Source organism: Homo sapiens, chromosome 2 (assembly GCF_000001405.40).
Source record: "Homo sapiens chromosome 2, GRCh38.p14 Primary Assembly".
Lineage (NCBI taxonomy): Eukaryota > Metazoa > Chordata > Mammalia > Primates > Hominidae > Homo > Homo sapiens.
In genome coordinates this window covers 134,240,043-134,265,953 of record NC_000002.12, presented here as the reverse complement: position 1 = coordinate 134,265,953, position 25,911 = coordinate 134,240,043, and the positions used below count along the sequence as shown (strand labels likewise).

Sequence of the window (25,911 nt, the reverse complement as noted above, 5' to 3'; positions counted from 1 at the left end):
TTGTGATCCACCAGCCTCAGCCTCCCAAAATGCTCGGATTACAGGCATGAGCCACCGCGCCCAGACCATTTGTGTTTTAATCCTAATGGTAACCCTTTTGTTCAATACAACTGTACAAATAATTTCTATAGTTTAATAAAAATAGAAAAATATTACTCCAAATTCTAGTATATTTTAATATTTCATTGCGTCTTATAGTTATTATAGCCATAAAATGCGTCCTCAACAAGATTATCATTTTCAATTACTAATGAGCTTTTAAAATTTTGTTTGTGCTTCAAAGCCTTTGCAATAAAAATTTAATCCCAACATTACTACTGCAATTCTGCATTCCTAAAACTTACTGTACATGATGAAGACGAGATCAAAGTAGTTGAAAAACATTTAAAATGTCTCTCTGGGGAAAGCAGGCTTTGGTTTCTATCATGCCAGCATTCTTTGATAAATGGTAAGGTCGATTAAACTGCATTGGAACAGGTTATTTGACAGCTTCTGTTAAGTTTTCATTTCCAGGAAGCCATGGTATTGATGGGTAAGAAGTGATTGGAAGGGCCTGACAGACACATCCTTGAGCAGACAGCCAAGGAGCTATAACTGCAAGTCACACTTTTCTCCATCTCTGGAATTCAAGGAGATGGGATCTCAGTAAAAAGGAGGGCCCTGCTGGTGGAATAAGGTTTATAGATCTATCAGCTAATGCTGTGAGACTGGGTGGTAAACCTTCATTTCCCAGATCATCAAAATCAATCCGTATTTGAGGAATTATCAAAAATGGCCATGCTTGGGAGCTATGCTGTCCACCACCCCATTTTTCCTGGAACATGCTTCTAAAGCAGTGGTTCTTAGCCCTGCTGTGCATCAGACTCACTTTGTGCAGTCAGTTACCAGGTTGCATCTTCAACACACTAAATCCGGATCTGCAGAGTCCGTCAAGGATTAGGGCACAGCCAAGGTTGAGATCTACTGTGAAGGTACGGCCGCCATGATACTATGGCACAGAACCAACTACGCAATGAGCAAGGTCTTACATCTGAAATGCCAAAAATTATTTACATCTGTGCCTGCTCATGAATCAAATCCCTTTCACCATGGCTGCCCGAGAGGCAGAGCATGAACAACAGAGCCACAGAGCAGCTTCACTTGCTGCTCTGGAGAAACTGGCAAAGACAGGGCGTTAATGAGAAAGGAAGGTGCTATTGAAAAAAGAATTAACCTCAACCTCTTATTTCCATTGACTGTCAGGAATGTCAAGTTTCATCAATTATATATTTTTAAATTAATTTTAGAGTGATCTTTCCACAGAAAGATAATAGAGTTACAGTAATGACCCAAATACAGTCCATTTATTATGTACAAGGACATTCAAAGCAGTGTTATTTATAAAATAGCGTTATTACAGATAAGAACTGGAAATTACCCAAACACAAAATAAAAAGATTAAATTACATTATGTCAGCCATTCATAAGATAGAATAAATCACTAGACTGTAAACTTAGGGAGGGCAGAGACCAAGTCTGCTTGTCATCTCTGTTTACAGCCACTAGCTATTAATATCAGGAGTTCAATAAATATTTGTTAAGTGGATGGATAAAAAACGAAAAGTATACAGTCATCAAAAATACTTAATGGCTGGCCGGGTGCGGTGGCTCATGCCTGTAATCCCAGCACTTTGGGAGGCCGAGGGGGACCGATCACCTGAGGTCGGGAGTTTGAGACCAGCCTGACCAACATGGAGAAACCCCGTCTCTACTAAAAATACAAAATTAACTGGGCATGGTGGCACATGCCTGTAATCCCAGCTACTAAGGAGGCTGAGGCAGGAGAATCGCTTGAACCTGGGAGGCGGAGATTGCGGCGAGCCGAGATCGTGCCATTGCACTTCAGCCTGGGCAACAAGAGTGAAACTCCATCTCAAAAAAAAAAAAAAAAAAAAAACCTAATGGCATAAGGAAATGCAGTATCTTAATTTTTAAAAAAGCATATATTCATGTACATATATACACATATACACACATGTACGTATCACTTTTTTTTTTTAAAGAACTAAAGGGAAATCAATTTTATCTGGTAAGATCTGCATTTAGAGGTAAAGAGTGTATTTATTCTTTATTCTTCTCCATACTTCCTCATATGCTTTAATTTTACATAAAAATTCACATTATTTTCAAAGTCACAAAGGCATTAAGTGTTATTTTAAATATATATACATAGTACAATGAATTGTACTCTTAAGAATCAAAGATAGTGCCACCAGTACCCTAAAGTCATGTAAGGCAATACCCACCAGAAACATCTTAGTGACCCTTACTGCCTTATCTCATTTGAATTTTAAAGCCACATGTTAGATAATTTGCCTGCTCCTGAACTGACAAAAAGGTGGCTTCCACCCTGCAGTTGTCCCAGTCAGCAGATTCTGGACAGAAAAGGGCATAAAACAATTATCACCAAAGTCAAAGAGCAGCTCAGATGCTCAGCAACACTGACTAGCCTTCTCTTCTGGGTTAGAACTACAGATTTAAGCTTTCACCAGAACTTGTGCCCAGAAGCGAATGTTTTTCCTAAGGTGTTGCAGAGGGTGTCATTACTATTGAGGAAGTTTCCATGCATCGAAATCTGGTAAAAGATCCTTTCTAGGCCTGTTGATGATATTAAGTGCTTTATGGAACCTGAATAGAGTTCTTAAGCTATTCTTTGAATTTTCCTAACATGTAGCCAGCTGCAGGGAATAGGAACCAAGAATTTTAGCCTTTTTTATAGAAAAGATAAGGAATCAGAGAAGTGCTGAGAGGTCAAGCCTATTGTTATCCATTGTCCCCCACCTGATGCCAGGGCCCGCACCTTCTTGGAAAGGGTGGCCTCGCACACTACTGCTTCCTGCTTGCTGTACCATGCCAGAAACACCACCACCACCAATGCCCTGGTTAGATCCAAAGGTGAACTTGGCCATACCCAGCTTATCTTACAGCCCACAGAAGAAAACTGTATCTTTTGAACAGGGCAATGACAACCACATCTCCTAGTTTAGTAGGGTGGTGGCAAGCCTGACCTCTTCTGAAACAGAGCATATTTCCTCTCATGTCTGGTCAGGCTCTACCCCTGTAAATGCTAAGAATAGCTACATAAACAGGTTGCTGAAGCCCTGTGTTCAAACAAATGAACAACGTCAGATCTACATGAACAGTTATGCCTGGGTGGTAACAGATGCAGGTACATTCAAGCCAGAGTTAGTGATTACTAATAGGAATGAATGCATTTTAATTAAGCGCTGGTTGGGCACAGTGGCTCACACCTGTAATCCCAGCACTTTGGAAGGCTGAGGTGGGAGGATCGCTTGAGGCCAGGAGTTTGAGACCAGCCTGGGCAATACAGTGAGATTCCATCTTTAGAAAAAAAACTTTTGTTTTAAATTAGCCTAGTGTGGTGGCACATGCCTATAGTCCCAGCTACTCTGGAGGCTGAGATGGGAGGATCACTTGAGGCCAGGAGTTTGAGACCAGCCTGGGCAATACAGTGAGACTCCATCTTCAGAAAAAAACTTTTGTTTTAAATTAGCCTAGTGTGGTGGCACATGCCTATAGTCCCAGCTACTCTGGAGGCTGAGGTGGGCATAAGGCTTGAGTCTGGGAGGGGGAGGTTGCTAGAGCCTGATCACACTACTGTACTTCAGCCTTGGTGACAGAGCAAGACTCTATCTCCAAAACAAAACAAAACAAAATAAAACAAAAACAACACCAAAAAAAAAGAACAAGAATAATCTAAATTAATCTAAGTGCCTTAATAAACTTTGTCATTTGTAATCCTTACAACAAGCCTATGAGGTTAAATGATATTATATTGTCTGTTTTACAAAAGAGGAAGTAAGCTTTAAGATGATCGGTGACTTGTTCAAGGTCACACATCAGTAAGGAACACAATGTGTTCCATCCGCCCAACAGAAACACTAACTACCTTCCAGAATAAACAATGGTTCCCATGTTAGGATCATGCATAAGAGCTACTTGGAGCCTCTTAGATGCAGAGCCCATAGGGAATTTCTTCTCATTTCCTGCTTCACTAAAAACATTACTGTGATTTTCAAATGAGTCCCAGCTGTAACTGTACCACACAGAGCATCACAGAGTTTCACCAGGGGCTGCTGCTATTCATTCATGGCTCTTACTATGTGCCAGGCAAAAGGTACTAAGCTCTGGGGCACAGTGGGGAACAAAACAGACCAAAGTCCCTCCTCTTTCAGAACTTACATTGTAAGTGGGAGAGACACATGATCAGCTCATACAACAAATACTTGATGCTAAGTAGCTTGAGTGTTATAAAGAATGAGAGTAACAGTGGGTTTGGGCCCTCCTGTGAAGGAGGGAAGGCTAACTTCTCTGAAACAGAATGGAATGCGCATGGCTGTGTTCTAACCAACTTTATTTACAAACAAAGAAGGAAGAGAGGAAGGGGTGGGGGAGAGCAAATGCAGACGCTCAAAGACAGGCGAATGCTCAGCCACCACCCAACAGTCTTGTCCTAGAAGAGAGCCACCATGCCTTAGTAGACTTGAGGGGGTGCGGAGCTTTTTAGGGTGTCCACAGCAGCAAGAGGTCTGCTCAAGCACTTCTGACAGCAAAAGAGCACCAGGACACAGCTGGGAAGAAGCAGAGGGTCATAGAGAGCTATGACCATCAGGTAAGACAAGGGACATTCTAAGCCTCATCGTTTGAACATGGCAATGACAATCACATTGAGATTGAGACTCCAACCTCACACATGTGCGTGCAATCCCTCCTCAATCCAGACTTGAAGTAGTGGTGCTGCATGAAAGAAAGGGTCTTAATGACTGAGGGGTAGAAGAATGAGCCCCTTATTCTGAGTTTACTCCTCCTGTCTAAAACATTTCTGAGGTCTTCCTCAGACCTTTTGACTGGCCTGGGCGTGCTTGTGAACTTGGCCTGGCTTTGATGAGGATACTGGGCAGGCTGGACTCTACCACAGGATGGCTGGAAAAGTCCCAAGCCACAGAGAGGCCCATTTTTAGGTTCCAAGCTTTTTAAAGCAGAAAGCCCTTTCTTTAATCACACCAGCCACGTCACCATACAGTAACTAAAAGCCTTCTCAGACACACTGAACAGCCCAGCTATTTTTTTCCCTACCATTTTCACTTCAAGAACAGTGTATTTCCCTCAAGGGCAGGGGATTTCTACTTTGGCAACAGTGGTTTTCCACATTATCCCACAACAGTCCCAGCCCTCAAAAAAAAAAAAAAAAGAAAAAGAAAAAAGAAACCATTCCTATTCCTTGACCATATTTCCCTATTTGTAGGAAGAGAGACACAAAAAAAAAGTGGAAAAACAAAACAAACTAAAAAACCCTTTACATGCTTGCATCTTTAATGAAATCCAACCTGTTTTTGTTCCTTTTTCACAAGAGAGGTGGAAGGAAACACTTGCAAAAGCTCTCATTCGAATCTCAGAACGTTATCTGGATCTGCAACACAGGGCAGCTGCTAACCTTTCAGAGCAATCTTCGGCAGCCCTAAATGGTATTAACATCTTAGACATAGCATCCCAAGCCAATGAGGGCCAATCGGAAGTCCAAAGCAGTTACCTCTCCACTGCCCCCAACCAGCAACCAAAAGCCCTATGCTGGTTCTCCAACCGGCGTGTGTGCCTCCTTAAGGAAAAAACTTCCTTCCTCCCATAGAGAAAGCAGTGAACTATAGGGTGAGGTCAACATCTGGTTTCTGCATAAGAACATCCATATTGATACCAGAAGTCATAGCCTACAGGGCTCTGCATAAGCTGCCGGCTTCTCACTGCCTCAACACCTTCCATGCCACTGCTTGCTTGCTTCGTTCTAGCTACAGTGGCCTCCCTTCTACCCTGGAGTAGGCCTTAGGACCTAGCATACGCCGTGCCTTCTCCTTGGCATGCTCTGCCTCCACCTCTCTCTTTCCACTGTACCTGGCTGCTCCGTGTGTCATTCTGGTTAAAAGATACCTCCAGAGAGGTGACCTTCTAGTGCAAAGTAGCCCCTCAGATATTTTAAACCCTATCACCATTTTTCTTCCTGGAATGTACTGCTATCTGACTTTCTCTTGCTTATTATTTCTCCCTTCCAAAGATAACAAAGCATCTATGAGAGCAGGGCCTTTGTCCATCTGTTTCTCACTGTATGCACAAAATGTGGGGGATATTCCAGCCAATGACAGACATTTCCTGAAGGACCAGGCTTGAAAGACAGAAGCCAAAGGGCCAGTCCAGGACTAAAAAGCTCAGGGAACCAGGAGACAGGCAGAACGTAGGGAAGAACAGGCACACAGAACCTGGAGGTCAAGGAGGAAACAGGCAGCAGGCAAAGTGGGATGGGGGTCGGCAGAGAGAAGCTGGGAGCCCACAGCTGCTTGAGCCTGAGCTGGCAGCTTTTCTAGGACAGTACCCCAGCCCAGAGAAGCCAGGGTTAACAACGTGTGGATGGACCATAAGGGGAAATGTCACCTTGCCTCAGATTTCCATTACTGTTCATTAGAGAACACAAGTGGACCGGGTTTGTCCTGTTAGATAAGAGGTGATCACTAGGGATCAGAATTTGGGTCAGGCTGCTGGAGACAGAGATCAATTCACCTCAGAAACAAGAATAGCATTGACTCGGGTGAGTGGCACCATCCATGACACAATTCCCGAGACGTCACTGGCAGGCATGGCCCCTGCCACACTGGCTGGGAGATGCAGATGGGGCTGACCTGCAGAGGGCTCTGGCTCTACACTTGCCTGGGAGGCAAAAGCCAACACACTCCTCTCTGGACTGACAGAGTTAATACACAGAAAAGCCCTCCACACTCCAAGAACAAACGCACTGAATGTTCCACACGGGCTGCCCGGGAGTTCTGAGTATCACTTTGGAGTTGCCAAATCCCAAAGAAGTTCAGAAGTCTCTTTTCAAATCACCAAAACAAGGATGGGTTGGGGAAGGGAAGATACTCTTCAAGTTCTATTATTGTTTGAGTACTAGTCACAAGTCACACTAACAGCCAACAACAAGCACACAATGTCAGGCACCTGACACACAGCACTTTGCTCATGTCTCACAGTCCTTGGTGAGAGGCACTGACACCCCACTTTAAAGCAGTTTTGTGCTTCTAGGGCCTAAGCCATGCAGACAGGATGTGGCAAAGACAAACCAGTTGGCTCCAAACCCATGCTCCTAACCACTACAACTCTCGACCTGCCACTTAGAAGAAGCATTTTCAGAGGGCAGAGAAATGCTACATTTTATGTGTGCACCTTATGAAGATGTCGTGAGCGAATCCAAACACAGGCGTGAAAGAGACTTGGGACACACACACACACACAAAATCCAGTAGAGAGAGAGACTCACCCAGAGACTATCTAGGTCAGAGACTGATAAACATTTTTGGTAAAGAACCAGACAGTAAATATTTAGGCTTTGCAGTCTGTATGACAACTACTCAACTCTGCCACTATAGTGCAAAAGCAGCCATAGACAGCATATAATTAAATGGGCATGGCTTTCTTTACAAACACAGGTACCAAGGAAGACTTGGCCCGTAGGCCATGGTTTGCTGACTCTGCCTTAGACCATGGGAGTCCTGGGAAATAGTTGAATCAATAAGGAACTTGATCAGATGAGTATTTAGAATAACCATGGTGACTGCTGATTGATGGATTCAGAATGTTTCAGATGTTTTATGAAATAAATACTGGAATTACCGTGTTTATCTGTTATTGCATTTGTTACAAACAAATGGGAGTGGAGGTGTTCCAATAAAACTATTTACACAATCAAAGGTCCTGAATTTGGCGCATAGGTCATAGTTCACCGAGCCCTGCTGCCTTGGAATCTCTAACCAGAAATTCTAATAAATCAGCAATCATCTAAAATCAGCTACTACAATCCCTCAAATACCTACTGTATACCCATTTATCCTAAAAGCCTCTGATTATACCAATATGGGGATGAGATAAAGAAGGAATTTTTTTCTTCTTTTTGCTGGATTCATTTAAACCAGACACAAATCCTAGCCATACAGGATCAACTCTTCACTCTCAAAGCAGATGTGTAGGCAATGCACTGCACATAGGCTGCATTTATGGCAAAAAAAAAAAAAAAAAAAGAGACTGCAAACTAATGGCCTATGCATCCACATCACTGTTCTGCCAGCCCAGCTATACCATTGAGAATCCTACAGTCTCTGCACCAGCATGTGACATTAACTACCAGAGCTGCCTGCATGTCACACAATGTTACTGATACTGACAGATTCCAAGGGAAGCATATATCATCAGAATGGCTCTCCAGCTTCTAGGACTGGCCCTGGACTATACTAACTAATCCCTAGTACAATCCTCTTGTTCAATCCAAATTGTTGGTGCCAGAACTGGAAACCAGGGGGAACACTAGGCTTTCAAGTTTGAAATAACTAAAACCAGGCCAGGCACAGCGGCTCACACCTGTAATCCCAGCACTTTGGGAGGCTGAGGCGGGCAGATCATCTGAGGTCAGGTGTTTGAGACCAGCCTGGCCAACATGGTGAAACCCCGTATCTACTAAAAACACAAAAATTAGGCAGGCGTGGTGGTGTGCGCCTGTAATCCCAGCTACTCTGGAGGCTGAGGCTTGAACCCAGGAGGTGGGTGTTGCAGTGAGCCAAGATCACACCACTGCACTCCAGCCTGGGCAACAACGCAAGACTCCATCTCAGAAACAAACAAACAAAAAAACTAAAACCAGTTATCTGCTTGATAACATCCTTAAAAAGATGATGTCAGATAGCGTTTGTGGCTTCCACTCTTAGTACAGTTCTCCAAGGTGGCAGGAAGGGGATAATTATCACATATCTAAAGACATTTTGATTGTCACAACTAGGGAGCTGTTACTGGCATCTAGTGGGTAGAGACCCCTGAGATGCTGCTGAAATCCTACCACAATCAAGACCTATTTAGACCAAAAGTCAACAGCACCAAATGAGACACTGTCTTAGTAGGATCTCACCATGTGATAACCCCCCAGTACCTCAAGCACATACATACAAGTCCAATAAAAATTCCAGAAACTCAGCTCCCAAAACCACTTTGATACGTTAAAGTTGATTCGATGAAAGAGAAAACTAGCAGTGTCAGTTAGAGTTGCTGATGTGACCTGTTTGATTGTTTCTTTGTTGTTTTTGAGAAAAAGACAAATTATTTTGCTAAGGTTCATCTACGAAAGTAAGTTGGAATAAATAATTTCTATAGTTTCTTTGAGATGCAAAGTCTTATGATTACAGGCATATAAGGTGGCTGAAATTCTAACAGCCTATTCTGGGATTTTTTTGTAACTTAAAAAATAATATTTCTGTGAGGCTGAAAAGCTAAGACCAAATTATTGTCCTTTAAAATGTGGGGAAGCCTTCCCTATGAGATTTTCATCAATACACAAGAAATACAAACAGCCAAAACAACTGCAGAAATTTAAAGCCTATAAATTTGCTATTTGTGGGGCTTCTTCTTGCCCATGGAAAAGGTTTGACAGACTGAGAGAAACAAGAGAAAATTACCACTGAGCTGTAACTCTTTCCCTTCAAAGCTGTAACATGAAATGCATACAACCAGAAACTTTAAAACTGCACCTGTGTTACCTGCTGTGTCATATACATTGGTAACACTAATGGTGACAATCAGCTTTATTTTCTGTTGGTTTATCTAAACTACTCTGGAAATGTTACACAAATGTGAGTCAATGAGCAATTTTAAAATGCAACTCTAGGAAAAACTACCTAGTTACTTTTCAGTGTAAGCTCCCACAGTGGAATCTCATTTTTTAAATCCATCAGTTCAAAAAAGGTACCATTTTTTTAGATATATTAAAAGCCAATGCCTACAGACACTTTTAACAGATTAAATGCAGAGTGTGATTATTTACATAGTAAGAACTAGAAAAGAATTTCTAAAATGTTCCTCAGAAGTAAGCATCTTCTAATATATACACATACACACACACACATACACATACGTGTGTATAAAATTTTACATACTTTTTTAAAAACAAGTTTTTTTCCCCTTTTGGAAAGAAAGAAGCACATGTATAACTGAGTATGATTTCCTGTGTCTGAACTCAACCTGCACTGAACTGAACTGTTGCTGCACATTTTTGGGAATCACGATTTGAAATCGGCATACTTCAGGGCACCTTCCTTGAGTGGGTCACAAAACACAACTCCACTTTCTCCACCTCACCTAACCCCATTCTTGCATCTCATCTATACTATCAGGGAGACCACTTCAGTGAGACCACTGAAACCTCAATTCAATGATCAGACTCTTGTCACTCAACAACAGGTCATCTTCTACAGACCAAGTCTGCTCTGCAAAACACAGCATGATCTAAATTCCATTTGCAATTTTTTTCCAAGTATTTGTGTGTGTATGTGTATGTATATATATATGTGTGTGTATATATATATGTGTATATATGTGTATATATATGTATATATGTATATATATGTATATATATATTTGTGTGTGTATGCAAAGTATCAGAAAAATACACACTGAAATGTTAATTGTGGTTATTGCCTGGAGTAGTAGACTTATGTGTAATTTTTTTCTTTTTTTGCTTGTCTACAGCTTCCAACTTTTTCTATATTAAACATAAAAGAAAAATAAGTTACATCCCATATGTGTATTTTTTTACTCTTTCTGATTTCAAAAAGAATTCTGAAAAAAATTCTTTAAAGAAAAAGCAACAAGTACACAAAGATTCCTTTCAAAGTGAGGGCAGTTAGAGACAAGGGCAAGAAGAAGAGCAACATAACCTCAAGAAGCCAAAGGTTAAAACTCACCAGCATGCAAGTGCCAGTGTCATATTTATTGGCTGGAGGGAGGAACACAATTGGCTCTAAGTTTACTGGCTTCCATAGAACATTCCTCCCCATCCTCTTCACCTCACCCCCACCAGCCTTAATTAAGTTTTGTTTAGGGAAAGATGAGAATATTTTTCAGCATTCCCTGAACTCACTCCCACATGAGATCACATGGTTCCTGAAATGTGTTCAGGGAGAAGGAGCTAGCTGCAAACACAACCAATAGAGCCCTAACTATACTAACCCACTGACTCCAGGGGAAAGTGTGTCTGCATACACCAGCTCAGAACCCCCAAAATGGCATTGCTTTAATTTCCTAAAGATGCCTCTCTGTGTGCAATTCACTGCTTATGAAGGCAGTGGCAAAGGACATTCAGTCCATGACAAGACCATATCTGGGAGCTTCTAGGGCCATTTCAAGGCCAAGGCACACTTTAATGGAGAGGTCCCAGAAACAGTGCTTACCATAAGCTGTCATGACTCCAGCGTATGGCCCATCCACCACATTCCTGTTTTCTTCTGCCAGTGCCTTGATGTACCTTTTGCTGAGGTCCAGGATCTGCTCGCGCAGCATGGAGCTGCTTTCAGGCTGAGTTCGCTGCTGGATGGTAAAGTGCAGAAGCATCATACCCCAAATGAAGCCAAAAGTCACCAGGAAAAAGCCCAGCTTCTGAGAGGACAACTTCCACGGAGTGAAGAGAGCCATTGCTCTCTGGCAACTTCACCTGTCCTTGGCTCTTAACGCGTAGAAGATAGACACAAATTCATGGTGTAGGTTGAGTGTGAGAGTCTGCTGGTCTCACTCTGGCTCCTGTGTCAGCTGGTTGCCTTTCCTCACTTCCATTCTGCTGTGAAGGAGGAGAAGAATTAGCCAAGTGGTCATGGCACAATACAGCAAAATAAACCAGAAGCCATGTTTTCACTTGAATACCTCTAAGTAAAATGTCAACTCTTAAATTTGCTGGTTCAATATCTTATGATTCAGGAACTGTAAGCTGAGGGGAAATCTGGCTAGGCAACAAGAAGCTAAGCAATTATGAAGGGGGAAGTGTGCGTCTGCGTGTGTTAACAGGTGTAGTGGGGCTGTTCCAGCCTGGACCAAATTCAAAACAGGAAGTTTGTTTTGCAAGGTGGGGAGGAGACAGAAGGATATTTGGCGGAATGTCAGCAAAAACGGGGAGGGTGGAGTCATATCACCATCAGGCCCTTTTGTGTGCCTGTAACTTAAGCTTACAAAGTCATTATTATGTGCTTCTGGCAAGGACTAGAACATGCAACTGGTGAGGTGAGCAAGAAAGTGGATGCCCCCTTGGGGGTAACTAGACAAAGAAGAGGTAGATTGCTACATCTTATTTGAGCATGGCCAGCTTTCACCATCAGTGTTTAGTGATGAGATGGCTCTCTCAGGGCCACCAGGCAACCTCTCTAGGTGCACCAGCACAGAGAAGATATGCCAGAGGTACAAGCAGGGGTATTGCTTTCCCAGCTACATGAGGAAAAGGTACACCTCACTGCTCACTTGCATGCTGTAGCACAAGAAATGTGGAACACCTGGCAGGCAGATTTTCTGTGGTTCTCACTTTCACTCCCACCATGAGGCAAAATGAGACATTAAAAGGCAGAGTAGTTTCAATATTAATGCAGCCAGATCCTATCTAATGCCAGCACAGACCAGGCCACTCTTCTCAATCAGGGCTTCCCAACAAGTAGGACCTGAGCATAGGTTGCAAATGGTTACCAGCATGCCCACCCCTTCAGCCAGAGTCCTGGGCCCAATACCAGTCAGCTTACGAATAGCGCCATTTTCTAAGTGCCACTCAAGGGAGAGGCTGAGCAATGATCCGATCCCTTATAAGAGACTAACCCAGGCTGTACTTCAGAGTGTACATACATGCTTCAGTCAAAGGATTCTTCTTTGCAAGCGGCCCAAAAGAAAATGGTAGCAGGATCTTGAAGCAATTAGCTTTCAGAGCCCTGGATCACTGTTGGTCTGCCTCTTACTGTTTTCCCATTGCCTATCAACAGAGTAAAAATAAATTATAAATTCTAGCTATATCCCAGATATTGTGACATACCATCTTTTGTGGCTTTGCTCACTGAATCCTCAGAAGTTCTATATGGTAAGAAGTATGAATATTATCGTCTCTGTTTTATTAGAAACATGAGAAAATAAAGGTAAAAGGTGATTAACTTGGCAAAGGTCAGCCAGCTATGTGGCAGAGGACTGATCATCTAGGCATGGCCCAGGGGTTATTAAACCATGCCCCACCTTCCCTACATCATCCTCACTCCCCCAACAGCCTGTTTGTATATGGCAGAGAATGATATATATATGCTTAATGGGTCATGAAAAGCAATAAAAAATATGTAACAGATACTCTTTGTAGCCCAGAAGGCCTAAAATATTTACTATCTACCTCTTAACAGAGAAGGTTTGCCAACCTCTCAATTCTAGACCAGTGGTTCTCCAAATGTGGTCCCAAACTCAGTAACAGCAGCATCACCAGTGAGAAATGTGAATTCTCAGGCCCCACCCACACCCACTGAATCAGCAACTGAGGAGATGTGGTCCACAGCCTATCCTTTAACAAGCCTCGAGGTGATTCTGATGCACACTCATGTTTCAGAGCCCTTGACCAGGCAGCCTGATTCCAGACCCATACATTCCATCACTATTCAACACCCACCACAATGCCTATTAAAATGAGGCTCAACCTCTGTCTTGTACTATCATAACGTAAGTTCCTCTGCCCCATCACACCCCTCTCCCACTACGTACCTGCTGGTCTGCTCATTACCATAAACCCTGCACATGCTTCCTGAGAGGCTTCCCCTTCTTCACTCGGCTGCTCCTCCCACCCAGCTGGCACATGAGTGCTCTCTATTATGCTGACAATCAAACCCAGCCTGTTTGCCAGACCCCAGCTCTAGTCCCACCACCTGCCTCAGACCACTTTCCCCAGGGCTCCAGCCTGCAGTGTTCCTTTCCTAGTCTTACAACACTTCTCTGACAATGGAATACTATTCAACCAGAAAAAGAGAGAGAAATCCTGTCTTTTGCAGCAACAGGGATATACCCGAAGGACATTATGCTAAATGAAATAATCCAGGCACAGAAAGGCAACTACCGTACAATCTCACATGCAGAAGCTAAAAAGTTGCTATCATAGGAGATAACAGAACAGTGGTTACCAGGGGTGGGGAGGAGAGAGGGGGATGAGGAGGGAGTGGTCAATGGGTAAAAAGTTACATTTAGGAGGAATAAGTTCTGGTGTTCTATTGCACAGCAAGGTGACTATGGTTAATAATAACGTATATTTCTAAAAGAGACAATTTTAAGTGTTCTCACCACAAAAGTAATAATTATTTGGGGGTGATGTGCATGCTAACTATCCTAATTTGATCATTTCACAATGTATATGTGGATTGAATCTCACATGGTACTCCATTATTATGTATAATTATTGTATCAAATTTAAAAAAATTTTTAAAACAGGGAATAAAGGAGTATTATGAGTTAAAAACACCTGTCTACCTTGGATTGTTCAAAGTTTCTATGTGGGACTCTATGACATCCTTTAGGGAGCCCCTCCCCACACACACACCTTCTCAGAGAAAGGCACTGACCACAGTGGCACAATAAAGTATCTGCTAAATGAATATGTCGCCTAGGGCACTACAGCACTTTATTCAGCCCTTCTAACTGCAGGCCAGCCAACTAGCACCTGCCCTCTTTCCTTCCTCCACTCCGCTCCGCGCCAAGTCTATATTGAGCATGAGCGGCCATCAGGCCCTGGTGACTGAACAGTGAACAAGATGGAGTTTCCACCCCATCAGAATTACACTCTGACAGCCACATTACGAACTAGGTGCTGCACCTAGCTCCAAGGGAATTGGCTTTTTTTTTTTTTGATAACCCATACTCATTACTCATTACTTAATTTTGAACCAGGGCTGAAGGAATTTTCCTAGAGCAAGCCAATGAGGTGCTACATCAAAAAAGGTGATTTTTCTTTCACTATTTTAGTAAAGAGCCCGAATCACTGGTAGGAATTAGCTGTCCACTTTCAGACAGGAAACCCCACTCTACTTCCTCAATTAACCCTACTGAATAGGCTGCTCAAGCTATGGAGTTAAAACAAAGGAAAGATCAAGGGCTAGGAACTGAACAATAGCTTCCTTAGAAGGTAGAAGGCTTCTTCTCTGCCCTTGCCTTGGAGAAGGTCAGACACATCCAGATGGTGTATCAGAGGCGCAAAGAGATGGCCAAAAAATCTCAGCCTAGGTAAAATTATCCCAGTTCAGAGACATGCAAATTTGAAGTGAAAATCCCTAGCTATGCGGAGTTCAGAGTACAGTTCTGATTAGTGAGGGCCCAGATTTTAAGTGACTATAGAAGTGCCAGGAAACTTCTCTTCTCCAGTGGTACTTAGAGCTTGAAATAATAGAAACAATATCAGTATACACACAGCACACACAGAGAATCACAGAATGCATCTCTACAATTCCTATTAAGATGACAGAACTTAAGACTTTTCAAAAGCATTATTCAGGAGACACCCCTATCTCTCACAGTAACAGGTGGACAATGAGGAGGAAAATGAACAGCCATCCTCATAGTCTTGGTGCCACAAAATGACAATGAAGATCATCAGGAATGACCAGACAATTAATGAGGAAGCCCTAGACTAACAGTGATCAAGAAGTTGTTGCTGGAGCTAAGAAGATGCCTACCTCCAGACCTTCTAACGGCTGTGTCCTCTAGCTAAGTCATCCAATGGGCACAGTGGGACTATACAGTGGATCTCAGAAGACCTTGTTGCCAACCAGAGTAATGTCAGCTCATGGCCGTGACTTCATCAATTCACTTCCAGAAAAAAGTTTGCACCAAGTCTGTTTGCAGAATTAGCCACCTCAATATGCATCCCCTCTATCCTCCTACTTTCTAAAAGAGTAGCAATCACCTTGTTCCTTCCCACTGACGCCTCAACACAACAAAATCATCTTCAACCTTTATAAAGATGGTTAGAGATCTCTGGCAAAGAAATGTGTCAATTCTCCTGAAAGAAAGAAAAAAAAAGCACATGAAAAGATGCTCAACATCATTAGTCATTAGAGGAAATGCAAATCAAAACCACAATGAGATACTAACTTCACACTCATAAGGACATACAGATAAGAACAAGTGTTGGTGAAGATGTGGAGAAATTGGAACCCTCATCTACCACTGGTGGGAATATCAAATGGCGCAGCCAGTGTGGGAAATAATCTGGCAGTACCTCAAATAGTTAAACATGGAGTTACTGTATGATCCAAACAATTCTGCTTCTAGGAACTCTCCCAAGAGAAATGAAAATACGTGTCTACACAAAAACTTGTACACAGAAGTACTCAGCAGCAGTATCCATACTCAGCAGCATTATCCATAATAAACAAAAGTAAAACCAGCCTAATGTGCATCAACTGAGGAAATGGAAACAAAACTGCCATATCCATGCAATTAAATATTATCTGGCTATAAAAAGGAATGAACTGATTATGCTACACATAGATGACTCTTAAGAACATTATACTAAGCAAAAAAAGTAACAAAAAAACACATATTGCATGATTCCATTGATATTAAATGTCTAGAATAGGCAAATCTGTAAAGGCAGAAAATACATTAGTACTTGCTTAGGGCTGGGGTATGGAGAATGGAGGAAATGAGAGGTGATAGCTAAGGTGTATAGGGTTTTTCTAGGGGGTAACAAAAAGGTTCTAAAATTGTGGTGATAGGAGCATAATTCTGTGGACATACCAAAAGCCATGGAGTTGTATACGTTTAAATAGGAGGATGGTATGATATGTGTATCATATCTCAAAAAAAAAACTGTTAAAAAAAAAAAAGAAAAAAGAAAGCAAGCCCACCTCTAAAGCTATGGGGAAAAGGAGGAGTTTGGCTTAGAGCAGGCAGATGAGTGTCATGGGCCTAGCACAGCCAAGACCAGGGCAGGAACTAAGGGCTGGCCATGGGCCTAGCAACAGAAGGAAACCACAGTGATCTACTTCCAGTTCACCACATATGACCGCTCTTATAACCTCTGGATCAACCTTACAGGCTCCTGGCCAGGAGCCTGGCTTCAGAAGGCTCCTGGCCCACCTTGTCTGGCAAATGCCAATTTCTCAACCCACCTGAGAACACTGAGCAGCAGCCCAGTTCCAATGGAGTGAGAACGAGACCAATGAAGCAGTTCCTCCAGGTGGCCATCCAACATCCCTGGAGGCCCTATTTCTGACACAAGGGCCTGCCTCCTCAGAGGATAAACAAAGGCAGAAATGCCCATCCCTTCAGAAGCAATGCCAGCCCCAAGCAGAGATTTGGTCTCTTCAAATAGCCCTGCAGGACAATACCATCCCATGCGCCACATTCACACATTCACATAGGACAGCGCTGCTCTAACTTAGTGGTTCCCAGACCTCTCTGTCCTCACTGTGTACCACCTGAGCTACTTCATAGTCATCATTAAATGGTGGCTAAGGAGCCTACATTTAGCTTCATCCTGTACAGTAACCTTCAAGAAATCCTAAGTCACTGTGTCCACCCAATTTCCTTGGAAAATCCCACCCACATCTCCAGCCTCCAATCTCACCCCACCTCCTTCCTGCATAAAGCCTCCAGGGGCTCCCTAGACTGAGGAAAGCTCCCCTTCCATAGAGTACTCGTAACTCATAGCAGTTCGTGCTCCTTCCTTGCTCTATAGGACAATCCCGTTTCATCTCGCCTATGGGGTCTGTGAGGCCCCCAAAGACAAGAAATGCCGGCAATGGCCATGCCTTGCACACAGAGGGTGGTCATTAAGTATTTGCTAGATGGAAGGACAGGATGGTGGAAATGAGGTGAAGAAATGCAAATTAGCAAAGACCTCCAAGACCTCCTTCTGGTATGAGCCACAGAACCTGGGCATTCTGACAATACATTTGCACCTTACCTTTTACAAGATTTTACCCTTAGTAGTAAAACCCTTGAAGAGGCAGGGTTAAACTAAAGTGGATGTGATGGTAGTCAGGTATTAACAGAGAAGAAAACTGCAAAAAAACACTCCAGAAGAAAATTCTAGGGGGGCAGGGCAGTGAGATTACAGAAACAAAATATGTCTAAGACAAGGGATGGAGGGGAAAATACCCGGGAACCTTTCTTGGAGGCCACTTGTATTGTCACTGTTATGCTGAGAAGATCACAGAAAATAAGACCTGAAAGGGTGACAAGGAGGAACTGAGAGAACCTTGCATCAAAAACCTGAAAATCTCTGATCTGCAGCTTGTTCTACCATTGGCATTGTGTGATCCTAAGTGTGTCCATCTCAGTTTCCACATGTATAACATGGAGAAAGTTCTAGAAACACAGAACACTGTTAGAGCCACAGGAGTAGGGGTGAGCAACTGAGTTATTGGTTCTCAAACTGTGCTCCAAAGAACATCAAAGATTCATTCACAGAGATGTTCCAGAGGTTCCACAAATGTTTCATTTGACTTTTGGTTTTGTTTAAGATGTTTTTAAACATTTTTCAAAAAAAGTTTGACATGCCAAATCCTAAGATACTAGAGACAATCAATATACGTATCAATTTATATCGCAGAGACTCAGCAAAACTGCCCTGGCTACCTCCATACACTGAAGTTTGAACTTCAAATTTCCACCTTATTGGTCACAAAACTAATGCTCAGTAGTGGTCTAGTTTACGTTTTTTTTTTGTTTTTTTTTTTTTTTAATTCAGGCCCAGGTATCTATTCACATGAAATTGTATGACAAAAAAGCACTACCCTAATTAAATGCCAGATGAGAGTTGGTCACATATCTTGAAGTTCCAAGGCTGCTTGCCTGACTCCCATATTTTAAGTGACAACTGTCTTTAGATGTTAATAATTCAACTTTGAAACAATTTCTACTACTTCTCTTTTCAGCCTCCATCTCAATTTACATTAAAAGCAACTTAGAGTGCTTGGTAAGTTATTCTTTAAAATGATAGCCACTCCCATTCATAATTGGATGAATATGGACTGCTTCTACCGTGAACCAAAACACAGTGCAGAAATCAACTGGGTGCTAACCTTGCATTGACTGCACAACCTCTTACCAAACTCCTGGTTTTGTGCTCACCACAGAACCACATCTCCCTGGTCTAACAATCAACTTTAACAGGAAATATGATAAATTAAAATGTATAAAATACCTTTTTACAGACTGGAAGACAACGTCTGGTTTTGCTTAGGAAAATATCAAATGCAAACCCTCAATTTACAGAGGAAGACCCTGAGGCCAGAAAATATTATGTTTTCCAGTTAGAATCAAACCAGCACCCCAATTCCTGCCTAATACTACATGGCCTCCGCCAAACCAAGCTGAGTCTACCAGCTGCATGCGGAAACTCAGAAAGGAAGAGACCTCTCCGTATGGAACACAAAACAGAAACCAAAGTCCAGTACTATTAAGAAGCCGTGAGTCTAATGCAATGTCCCACCAACCTCAAGGGTTGAATCAACACATGAAAGGGAGAAAAATACACATTTACAGGATTACTGGTGTAAGAAAGACAGATGGAACGGGGACGGTGGTGGGGGGCAGTCTTCATCTAAATACAGTTGGTGTTAAAAGGAGAAGCAGAGGAGGAGAAGGGACAGGCAAAGCAGCTTTCTCTTCTAAAATAAATCCAAATTCCTGGGAAGAAGCTCTGAGGTCATTCACTCCCCCAGATGGCCCAGTGCCACCAACCTGATAGAGCCCACTCAGCAGGTGCCCAAAAGCTCAACTGTGAATCCCTGACAGCTGTGATGCCACCAACTCTCTTCTAGCTCTAGGAAGCAAAGGAGCTCAGGAGCAGGCAGGGTGCTGCCCAAGAAATAGGTATGAACAGAGACCTTTCACTTTCAGGACCTGGGTCCTTTTTTTTTTTTTTTTTTTTATAAACAGGAAAAACACATTCTAAATGAAAACAGTCTGTTCCCTTTGGAAGTGGCTAAACTAGTCTTATTTTAATTAACTAGCTGAAATACACCTGCTAAAAACAACACACCTTTGCTATCTTGGGAATACTCTTTGAATATCTGGGTTTTAAACAGCCCATCCCCTCTTACATTTGAAGTGATCAAAGCAAGACAGTCCTGTACCCAGAGTTTTAATTCATTACACTACACTTGCATTTTTCCTGTGGGCAGAGAAAGGAAAACCTCCAATGCCACCCACCTGAAGTGCATATTTGTCTTGCAGTTATACCATCCACTCAGTGGAGTTCAGGGCTCCATATCTGGCATCAATAGCAAAATAAATTTCCAAACACTGTAACAGGGCTGGTGAATCTGGGTCCAGAACATGCACTCTTCTTCCTGCCCTCTCTATTCCCAGGTTCTGCCACACCTACCCCAGCTGTTCTCTGACATTCACAGGTATAAAGAAGACAGATGGAAAGGAGATGGGGGTAGTCTTCACCTAAATACAGTTGGTGTTAAAAGGAGAAGCAGAGGAGGAAGGGACAGGCAAAGCAGCTTTAGAGGCAAAACAGGCCACTAGAGGGCGTGGGTGGGGTAAGAGAAAACCAACATTTGATGATTTTATCCTGACTTAGTCTCTTGGATGTGCACATTACTGGCAGGTGGACAAAAGGGAAAGAGGACAAGAGTGAGAAGGAAGCTGTGGTTGCTGGAGCAGATAAGATCTTCACATGTTCTATGAGTTTCATTCACTAGGCCCATACGATATTCACAGTTGAGAGAATTTCCTAACAACAAAAAAAGGCAACAGCGGTAACTCCAAGAATTCTGAGGGGCTGGGCGCTGTGGCTCACGCCTGTAATCCGCACTTTGGGAGGCCGAGGGGGCGGATCACGAGGTTGGGAGGTCGAGACCATCCTGGCTAACACGGTGAAACCCCGTCTCTCCTAAAAATACAAAAAATTAGCCGGGCGTGGTGGCAGGCGCCTGCAGTCCCAGCTACTCGGGAGGCTGAGGCAGGAGAATGGCGTGAACCCGGGAGACGGAGCTTGCAGTGAGCCGAGATCGCGCCACTGCACTCCAGCCTAGGCGACAGAGCAAGACGCTGCCTCAAAAATAATAATAATTCTGAAAACAACTACTAAACCAAAACAAAGCACGGGTCCCTGAAAAATGAAATAAATCACTTTAATCCAATGTTTCTCAATCTTTGCACAACTGACATATGGGTCTGAATAATTTTTTTGTTGTGGGAAGCTATTAGAGGTTTAACAGCATTGCTGGCCTCTAGCCACTAGATGCCATTAGAGCCCTCCAATAACCCTCTATAACTAGAGGGTTGTGACAATCGAAAAATGTCTCTCAACACTGCCAAAACTGCCTCGGTTGAGAGGGACTGCCTTACCAATCAACAGGATCTTACTCACCCACTGGAAGATGCTCAGACAGGTTCTGCCCATGTAACTAGAATGCAGAGTGAGAGAGAAGCAGACCAAGGTGAACCTGGGAGTCCATCACCACCCCTCAAGACCAGCAGGCTCAGAAGCCTGTGCTGAGGCTGTGGAAGGCCTCAGAGTGAAGGAAGGTGGCCGACTGCTGATGCTGTCTCAAGGTGACTGATAAATGAGTCTCATTTTCTCCACATCTCTCAGTGCTGTCTGGGCACTGACTGAGAATCTCATTCCTAGGCTAGCTGTGCCCAATTTACTAATGAGTATTAAGGCACTGGGCCTCTGCTCCAAAGACCTGGTCCATAAATCAATGAGCACAGGGAAGAAGGCTTTGAGCAAGACCAAATCTGGATGATGCTTCATCAGACAGCCATTAAAAAAAAAAACAAAAAACGCTAGGATTGTCACCTGGCATCCGGCCCAGGAAACCATGAACAGGCTTTAAGATAGGTTGATAATGACTCTCTAAGAAGAAAGAAAGAATCATCTGTGAAAAGATCACACAGCATGTCAATTTGTCAGGTAGGTCTCCTTAATGTTGAATGAAAATACTCAAAAGATTTGCTTCCACTCTCAAAGGACAGTAAAGCCACAAAGAAATTTTATAATAAGTGTAAAATGCACCTTTTCTCTGAGGATCAGACTTCTGGCAACACTCTACATCTAGAAAAAAAACCAAGAATGACAACAGGCCAAAATGGCCCCAGTAATAAAGAAAATCACAATCACAAAAATCACCACACTTATTTCAAAAATATGGGTAATGCCTTCAAGATAAAGCTCATTATTTCCAAATGCTTCCTAAGCCCTCCAGCCCAATTACCCCGACCCCTAGTACCCCTCTCCTCCACCTCGGGAGGAGCACCGGCTGGGTACTGGCCTACCCCAGGAGTGTTCCAGCTGCCCTATTTGCAGAAAAGGGACAGTCCTCCCCAAATCTGATTTGGTTAAAAAAATGAACTAGCTAAGCAGTGAAGAAATACATATGTGTGCACACACATGCACAATCTGAAGTGACCACTCAGGCTTATCCAACTTAACCTTATAAAGAAGTTCTCATCACTTCTAAAATAAAGTTACAGTAGTCAAGCCACTCAATCGCACAGCCCTAAGCTTTAACAGACCCAGAGTCATAAAAGTCAAGGTCTGAATTTTCTTAGGGAAGAAATCATTGGTTAGATGCTGGCTGATAAGTTCACTAGTTCCTTAATGTATACACCAAGGTCAACTCTCCCAAACACTGCAAATAACTTGGGTCAGCCTGACTGGTTTCTGGTCACAAACCCTCAGTTTGCACAAATGATAAACCAGCTCAAGTTAAAAATGGAGCTTCTCAGGAGAGTTTCTTGCCCTCAGAGCTTAGGACTGACTAAACCAGGACCTCCCAACTATGATGTACATAGAATCACCTGGACTGCTCTTTAAAAAATAGAGATGCCCAGCTATCACACCCAAAGATTTTGATTTACTTTGTCTCAGGTGTGGCCCAAGCAGAGGTATTTTTATTTTAAGCTGCTTAGATGATTTTAATACACAGCCAGGCATGAGAACATTTAAAAGACATTCTATAACAACTCTATTGGCCCTATCTAGTGAAACCCAAAATGTGATCCATTCTAGAATTTTAAGAGGTAAGCTCTCTGCTCTTCTCCCACCCCACAAATGTAGAGTCACTGGCTTACTAGATAATTCATCTGCCAAGGTAGGCTTGTTTTCTCCTTAAAGGAATCACAAACTGGTCTTAGGCCAATGCCCTGCCTGAGTAGCCAGACTTTCAATAGCTAGTCTACCACAGAGCCTTGTTAGATCATCCCACACTATGGAAGGACTTGTAGAGAATAATGCTGAACTAATACAGCTTTTATTAACCTCTCCTGGGCATTTGGCTCCAAAGATGAGAAATGATTTGAGGCTAGCCCAAAAGCCTCGATGTCTACAATGCTTTTAGCAACTAGCACCTCTATAACATTGCTACTCGAACTCTCATCTGTGGAAAGGTAGCACTGAAATGATCTGGCAGGTTGTTAAAAATGCAGAATCTTAGGCCCAATCCCAAAACAATAGAATCAATTGGTGTTTATAACCAGACTGCAAGGTTACTTGTTTTCACATGAGAAGCACTGCTTTTTACCTTATCTAGGATAGTAAGAGCAGGGGCAGATCAGATCCTAATTTCCAGTGGAGGATAACAGAGAACATGGCACAATTCTCCTTTTCATAACACGTACAGAACTTATATTACTTTTGAATAAGCTGGATGTACATCCTACTGACACATATCCAGCTGAGATGAGCATTATATACATAAATGGCATAGTTTAATCACTGTGAACTAGGAGTCCTTATAGGACAACTGGTCCTACTTTCTAGTTGCTGACAAAAAGCAAACATTTTGATCCATCAGGTTAAAAATGAAGACACAGTTTGGATACATGTTTTCCAAACATCTAACTCTGATAAAGCAGTAATTCCACACAGCAAAGCGCCTTATGCAGCTACCCAACACACACCTTGCACTGCTCAAAGTTCAACATCATGGGGGTTTGAGTTTTTGTTGTTTTATAATCCAAAGTGCTCTCTTTAGAACAAGTGCTTTGCAATCACAAGTACTTTCCCAGTTGACTTCAAAGTGAAATAGCCTTCAACTGAGATAAGCATGCTCATTAGGTCCCTTCATTCTGCATAAGAGTATTTCAACCAATAGTTAAAAGTTTCTGGAAATGATTCTAATTCCGATATTTTCCAGGGTACTTCAGTGACTTCATAGCCCCTGAAAGTCTTTCAAAGTTTGGTTGAAAGAAATTGTATCTGAATGATGACTTAAGGGATACACAATCCATCCATTGCTCTAGGTCGGCTTTGCCCAACCTCTTATGTATGACCTGTGAGGCTTTTAACAGTAATATATGATCTCTCTCACTCATACACACTCACACTCCCACCCCTTAGGAACTTTTCAGTCATTTCTCAGTGTTTACATATATATGAGAAAGATAGGATATTAAAGTCATAATCCATTTCTGAAACAAGGTATTGAAAGTTTATGAAGTTCATTTTGATACTATCTTTGCTAATGTTCCAAATGATTAATGGCAAATTACCATTTGCCCATTTAACCTGTAATACACAGCATTTAACTTAATTATGTCGGTAAAAAAGTATAATTTGTCAATAAAATTCATTCTGAATTTATATACTTGTTAGTACATATTTGGTGTGGGGACCAAATGCATATTCAAAACAGAGAGCAATCTACTTACAACCCCCAATTAGACAAAATGTCCCATGTTTGCATTTCTTACATCTGGACTTCAAAACAAATCAAAGAGTTTATAAGAGAACTCATTGCTTCCTTTGAACATGTTTTCCGGCAGAATGTTCACCCCATTTCCCAGGAAGAAACCATAGTGGGGAATTATGTCTGCTCCTTCTTTGGGGTACTCACAGTTCTCCCAGAGCGGGAAGGACAGGATTTCAGCTTGAACAGGCTGCTGGACACACTCTCTGTTCCTGCTCCCACGGGTTATATGGGCAGAGCCCACCCACAGATGCTCAGCCATCACCTGGGTGGCTATGAAGATTACATTTAGGGTGGATAAGGAAGTCTTACATCCAAAACACATCTCCCAACTTCACTTTACACTAATAAAACTGGTACTGTATTTTAATTTTTGTCTAGCTTCTTCTGTTTCCTCTAGTTCAGAATCCAGAAGGGAGGAAGGTTGTGATTAACTGCCATCTCCAATACCTTGAAAGTTTATTTTTATATATTTTTTCCAGTTGTGTTTCTAAATATCAGGCTAAGACAGATGGTTTTCCAGCAGCTATTTGAAAGCATTTCTCCACAAATAACACACTGCAGGTGTATGAATCTTTAGTCCTAATAAATTAAAAGACAAAATGACTATAACAGTCATAATATTTTCTATTTCTAAATATTGATTTTTTAAAAAATACTATCAGATATGCCAAAAGATTTCAGATGAATGCAACTTTTGACTACAGGGAAAATAGCATGAGGAAAATCAACAGAATTCTCATATACTCCTCAATAATTTATACTTCAATTTAACTTTTCCTAATGCATCCTGTCTTTAAACAACACTCCATTAAGAACATAAATTTTTTTTATTATAATGTAACATATAATGGTCCAAAACCTCACAGACTGCTAGTGCAGATCACTCTTCCGACTACAACTAACCACCATATCCAAGCTCTTAATAAATACTGGTAGGCTTTCACTCTTCCGTCTTAAGGGGAGATCAGAGATTATATACGTAAATACATACTTTATGTCCTTCAAACATACAAATAGTAAAAAAAAAAAAAAACACTTTCATTTTAGAATGAAAGCTCAGGGCACCCTCAAAAATCCCTAGGGGATGAGAGCCACCAGATGGGAATCACTGCTCCAGCTGTTCCAAATTCCCACATTTGGCCTGGCCTGACCCTGGACCACATGTCTTACAAGAGATCTTCAAAGAATGAGTATTTGACCTTAAATATAAAGCAGTAAACAAAAGAAGAGAAAGGCCAGGTGAAACACACCATTGGGTTTACTGTAAACATGTCAAAGGTTTTGCTCATTATACACTTTATGTATCCATGAAGACTTTGGAAGAAATTTTTTTTTCATCTTCATATCA

The 25,911-nt window shown here is 42.2% G+C and overlaps 1 protein-coding gene across 23 annotated transcripts in view, besides 8 other annotated features; it reads right to left on the bottom strand.

The window, feature by feature from the left end:
- The window catches only part of MGAT5 (alpha-1,6-mannosylglycoprotein 6-beta-N-acetylglucosaminyltransferase), a 334,687-nt gene that overhangs the window by 188,668 nt on the left and 120,108 nt on the right, over window positions 1-25,911 (bottom strand). For 5 of the 23 annotated variants that reach the window (XM_047444397.1, XM_047444399.1, NM_001371457.1 and 2 more), the window contains one exon: window positions 11,310-11,692. In XM_047444397.1, coding sequence (XP_047300353.1) covers window positions 11,310-11,550 — 241 coding nt within the window. In that variant the 5' untranslated portion in view covers window positions 11,551-11,692. Of the gene's footprint in view, window positions 1-11,309; window positions 11,883-12,735; window positions 12,860-15,578; window positions 16,706-25,911 lie in introns of those variants that run through there. The other 18 variants (XM_047444395.1, XM_017004147.3, XM_047444402.1 and 15 more) reach the window with 10 other exon arrangements.
- Window positions 4,194-4,243: an enhancer, noted in NCBI's record as "active region_16553". NCBI's record gives its function as "activates an Ori minimal core promoter by ATAC-STARR-seq in GM12878 lymphoblastoid cells {active_cell/tissue: GM12878}" and the evidence as "EXISTENCE:reporter gene assay evidence [ECO:0000049][PMID:35858748]".
- Window positions 6,718-6,847: an enhancer, noted in NCBI's record as "active region_16552". NCBI's record gives its function as "activates an Ori minimal core promoter by ATAC-STARR-seq in GM12878 lymphoblastoid cells {active_cell/tissue: GM12878}" and the evidence as "EXISTENCE:reporter gene assay evidence [ECO:0000049][PMID:35858748]".
- Window positions 14,737-14,826: an enhancer, noted in NCBI's record as "active region_16551". NCBI's record gives its function as "activates an Ori minimal core promoter by ATAC-STARR-seq in GM12878 lymphoblastoid cells {active_cell/tissue: GM12878}" and the evidence as "EXISTENCE:reporter gene assay evidence [ECO:0000049][PMID:35858748]".
- Window positions 14,987-15,046: an enhancer, noted in NCBI's record as "active region_16550". NCBI's record gives its function as "activates an Ori minimal core promoter by ATAC-STARR-seq in GM12878 lymphoblastoid cells {active_cell/tissue: GM12878}" and the evidence as "EXISTENCE:reporter gene assay evidence [ECO:0000049][PMID:35858748]".
- Window positions 17,705-17,794: an enhancer, noted in NCBI's record as "active region_16549". NCBI's record gives its function as "activates an Ori minimal core promoter by ATAC-STARR-seq in GM12878 lymphoblastoid cells {active_cell/tissue: GM12878}" and the evidence as "EXISTENCE:reporter gene assay evidence [ECO:0000049][PMID:35858748]".
- Window positions 17,855-17,904: an enhancer, noted in NCBI's record as "active region_16548". NCBI's record gives its function as "activates an Ori minimal core promoter by ATAC-STARR-seq in GM12878 lymphoblastoid cells {active_cell/tissue: GM12878}" and the evidence as "EXISTENCE:reporter gene assay evidence [ECO:0000049][PMID:35858748]".
- Window positions 20,290-20,790: an enhancer, noted in NCBI's record as "H3K4me1 hESC enhancer chr2:135002735-135003235 (GRCh37/hg19 assembly coordinates)". NCBI's record gives its function as "activates a minimal SCP1, AML or CMV promoter by ChIP-STARR-seq in naive H9 embryonic stem cells {active_cell/tissue: H9 hESC(naive)}" and the evidence as "EXISTENCE:reporter gene assay evidence [ECO:0000049][PMID:30033119]".
- Window positions 20,791-21,291: an enhancer, noted in NCBI's record as "H3K4me1 hESC enhancer chr2:135002234-135002734 (GRCh37/hg19 assembly coordinates)". NCBI's record gives its function as "activates a minimal SCP1, AML or CMV promoter by ChIP-STARR-seq in naive H9 embryonic stem cells {active_cell/tissue: H9 hESC(naive)}" and the evidence as "EXISTENCE:reporter gene assay evidence [ECO:0000049][PMID:30033119]".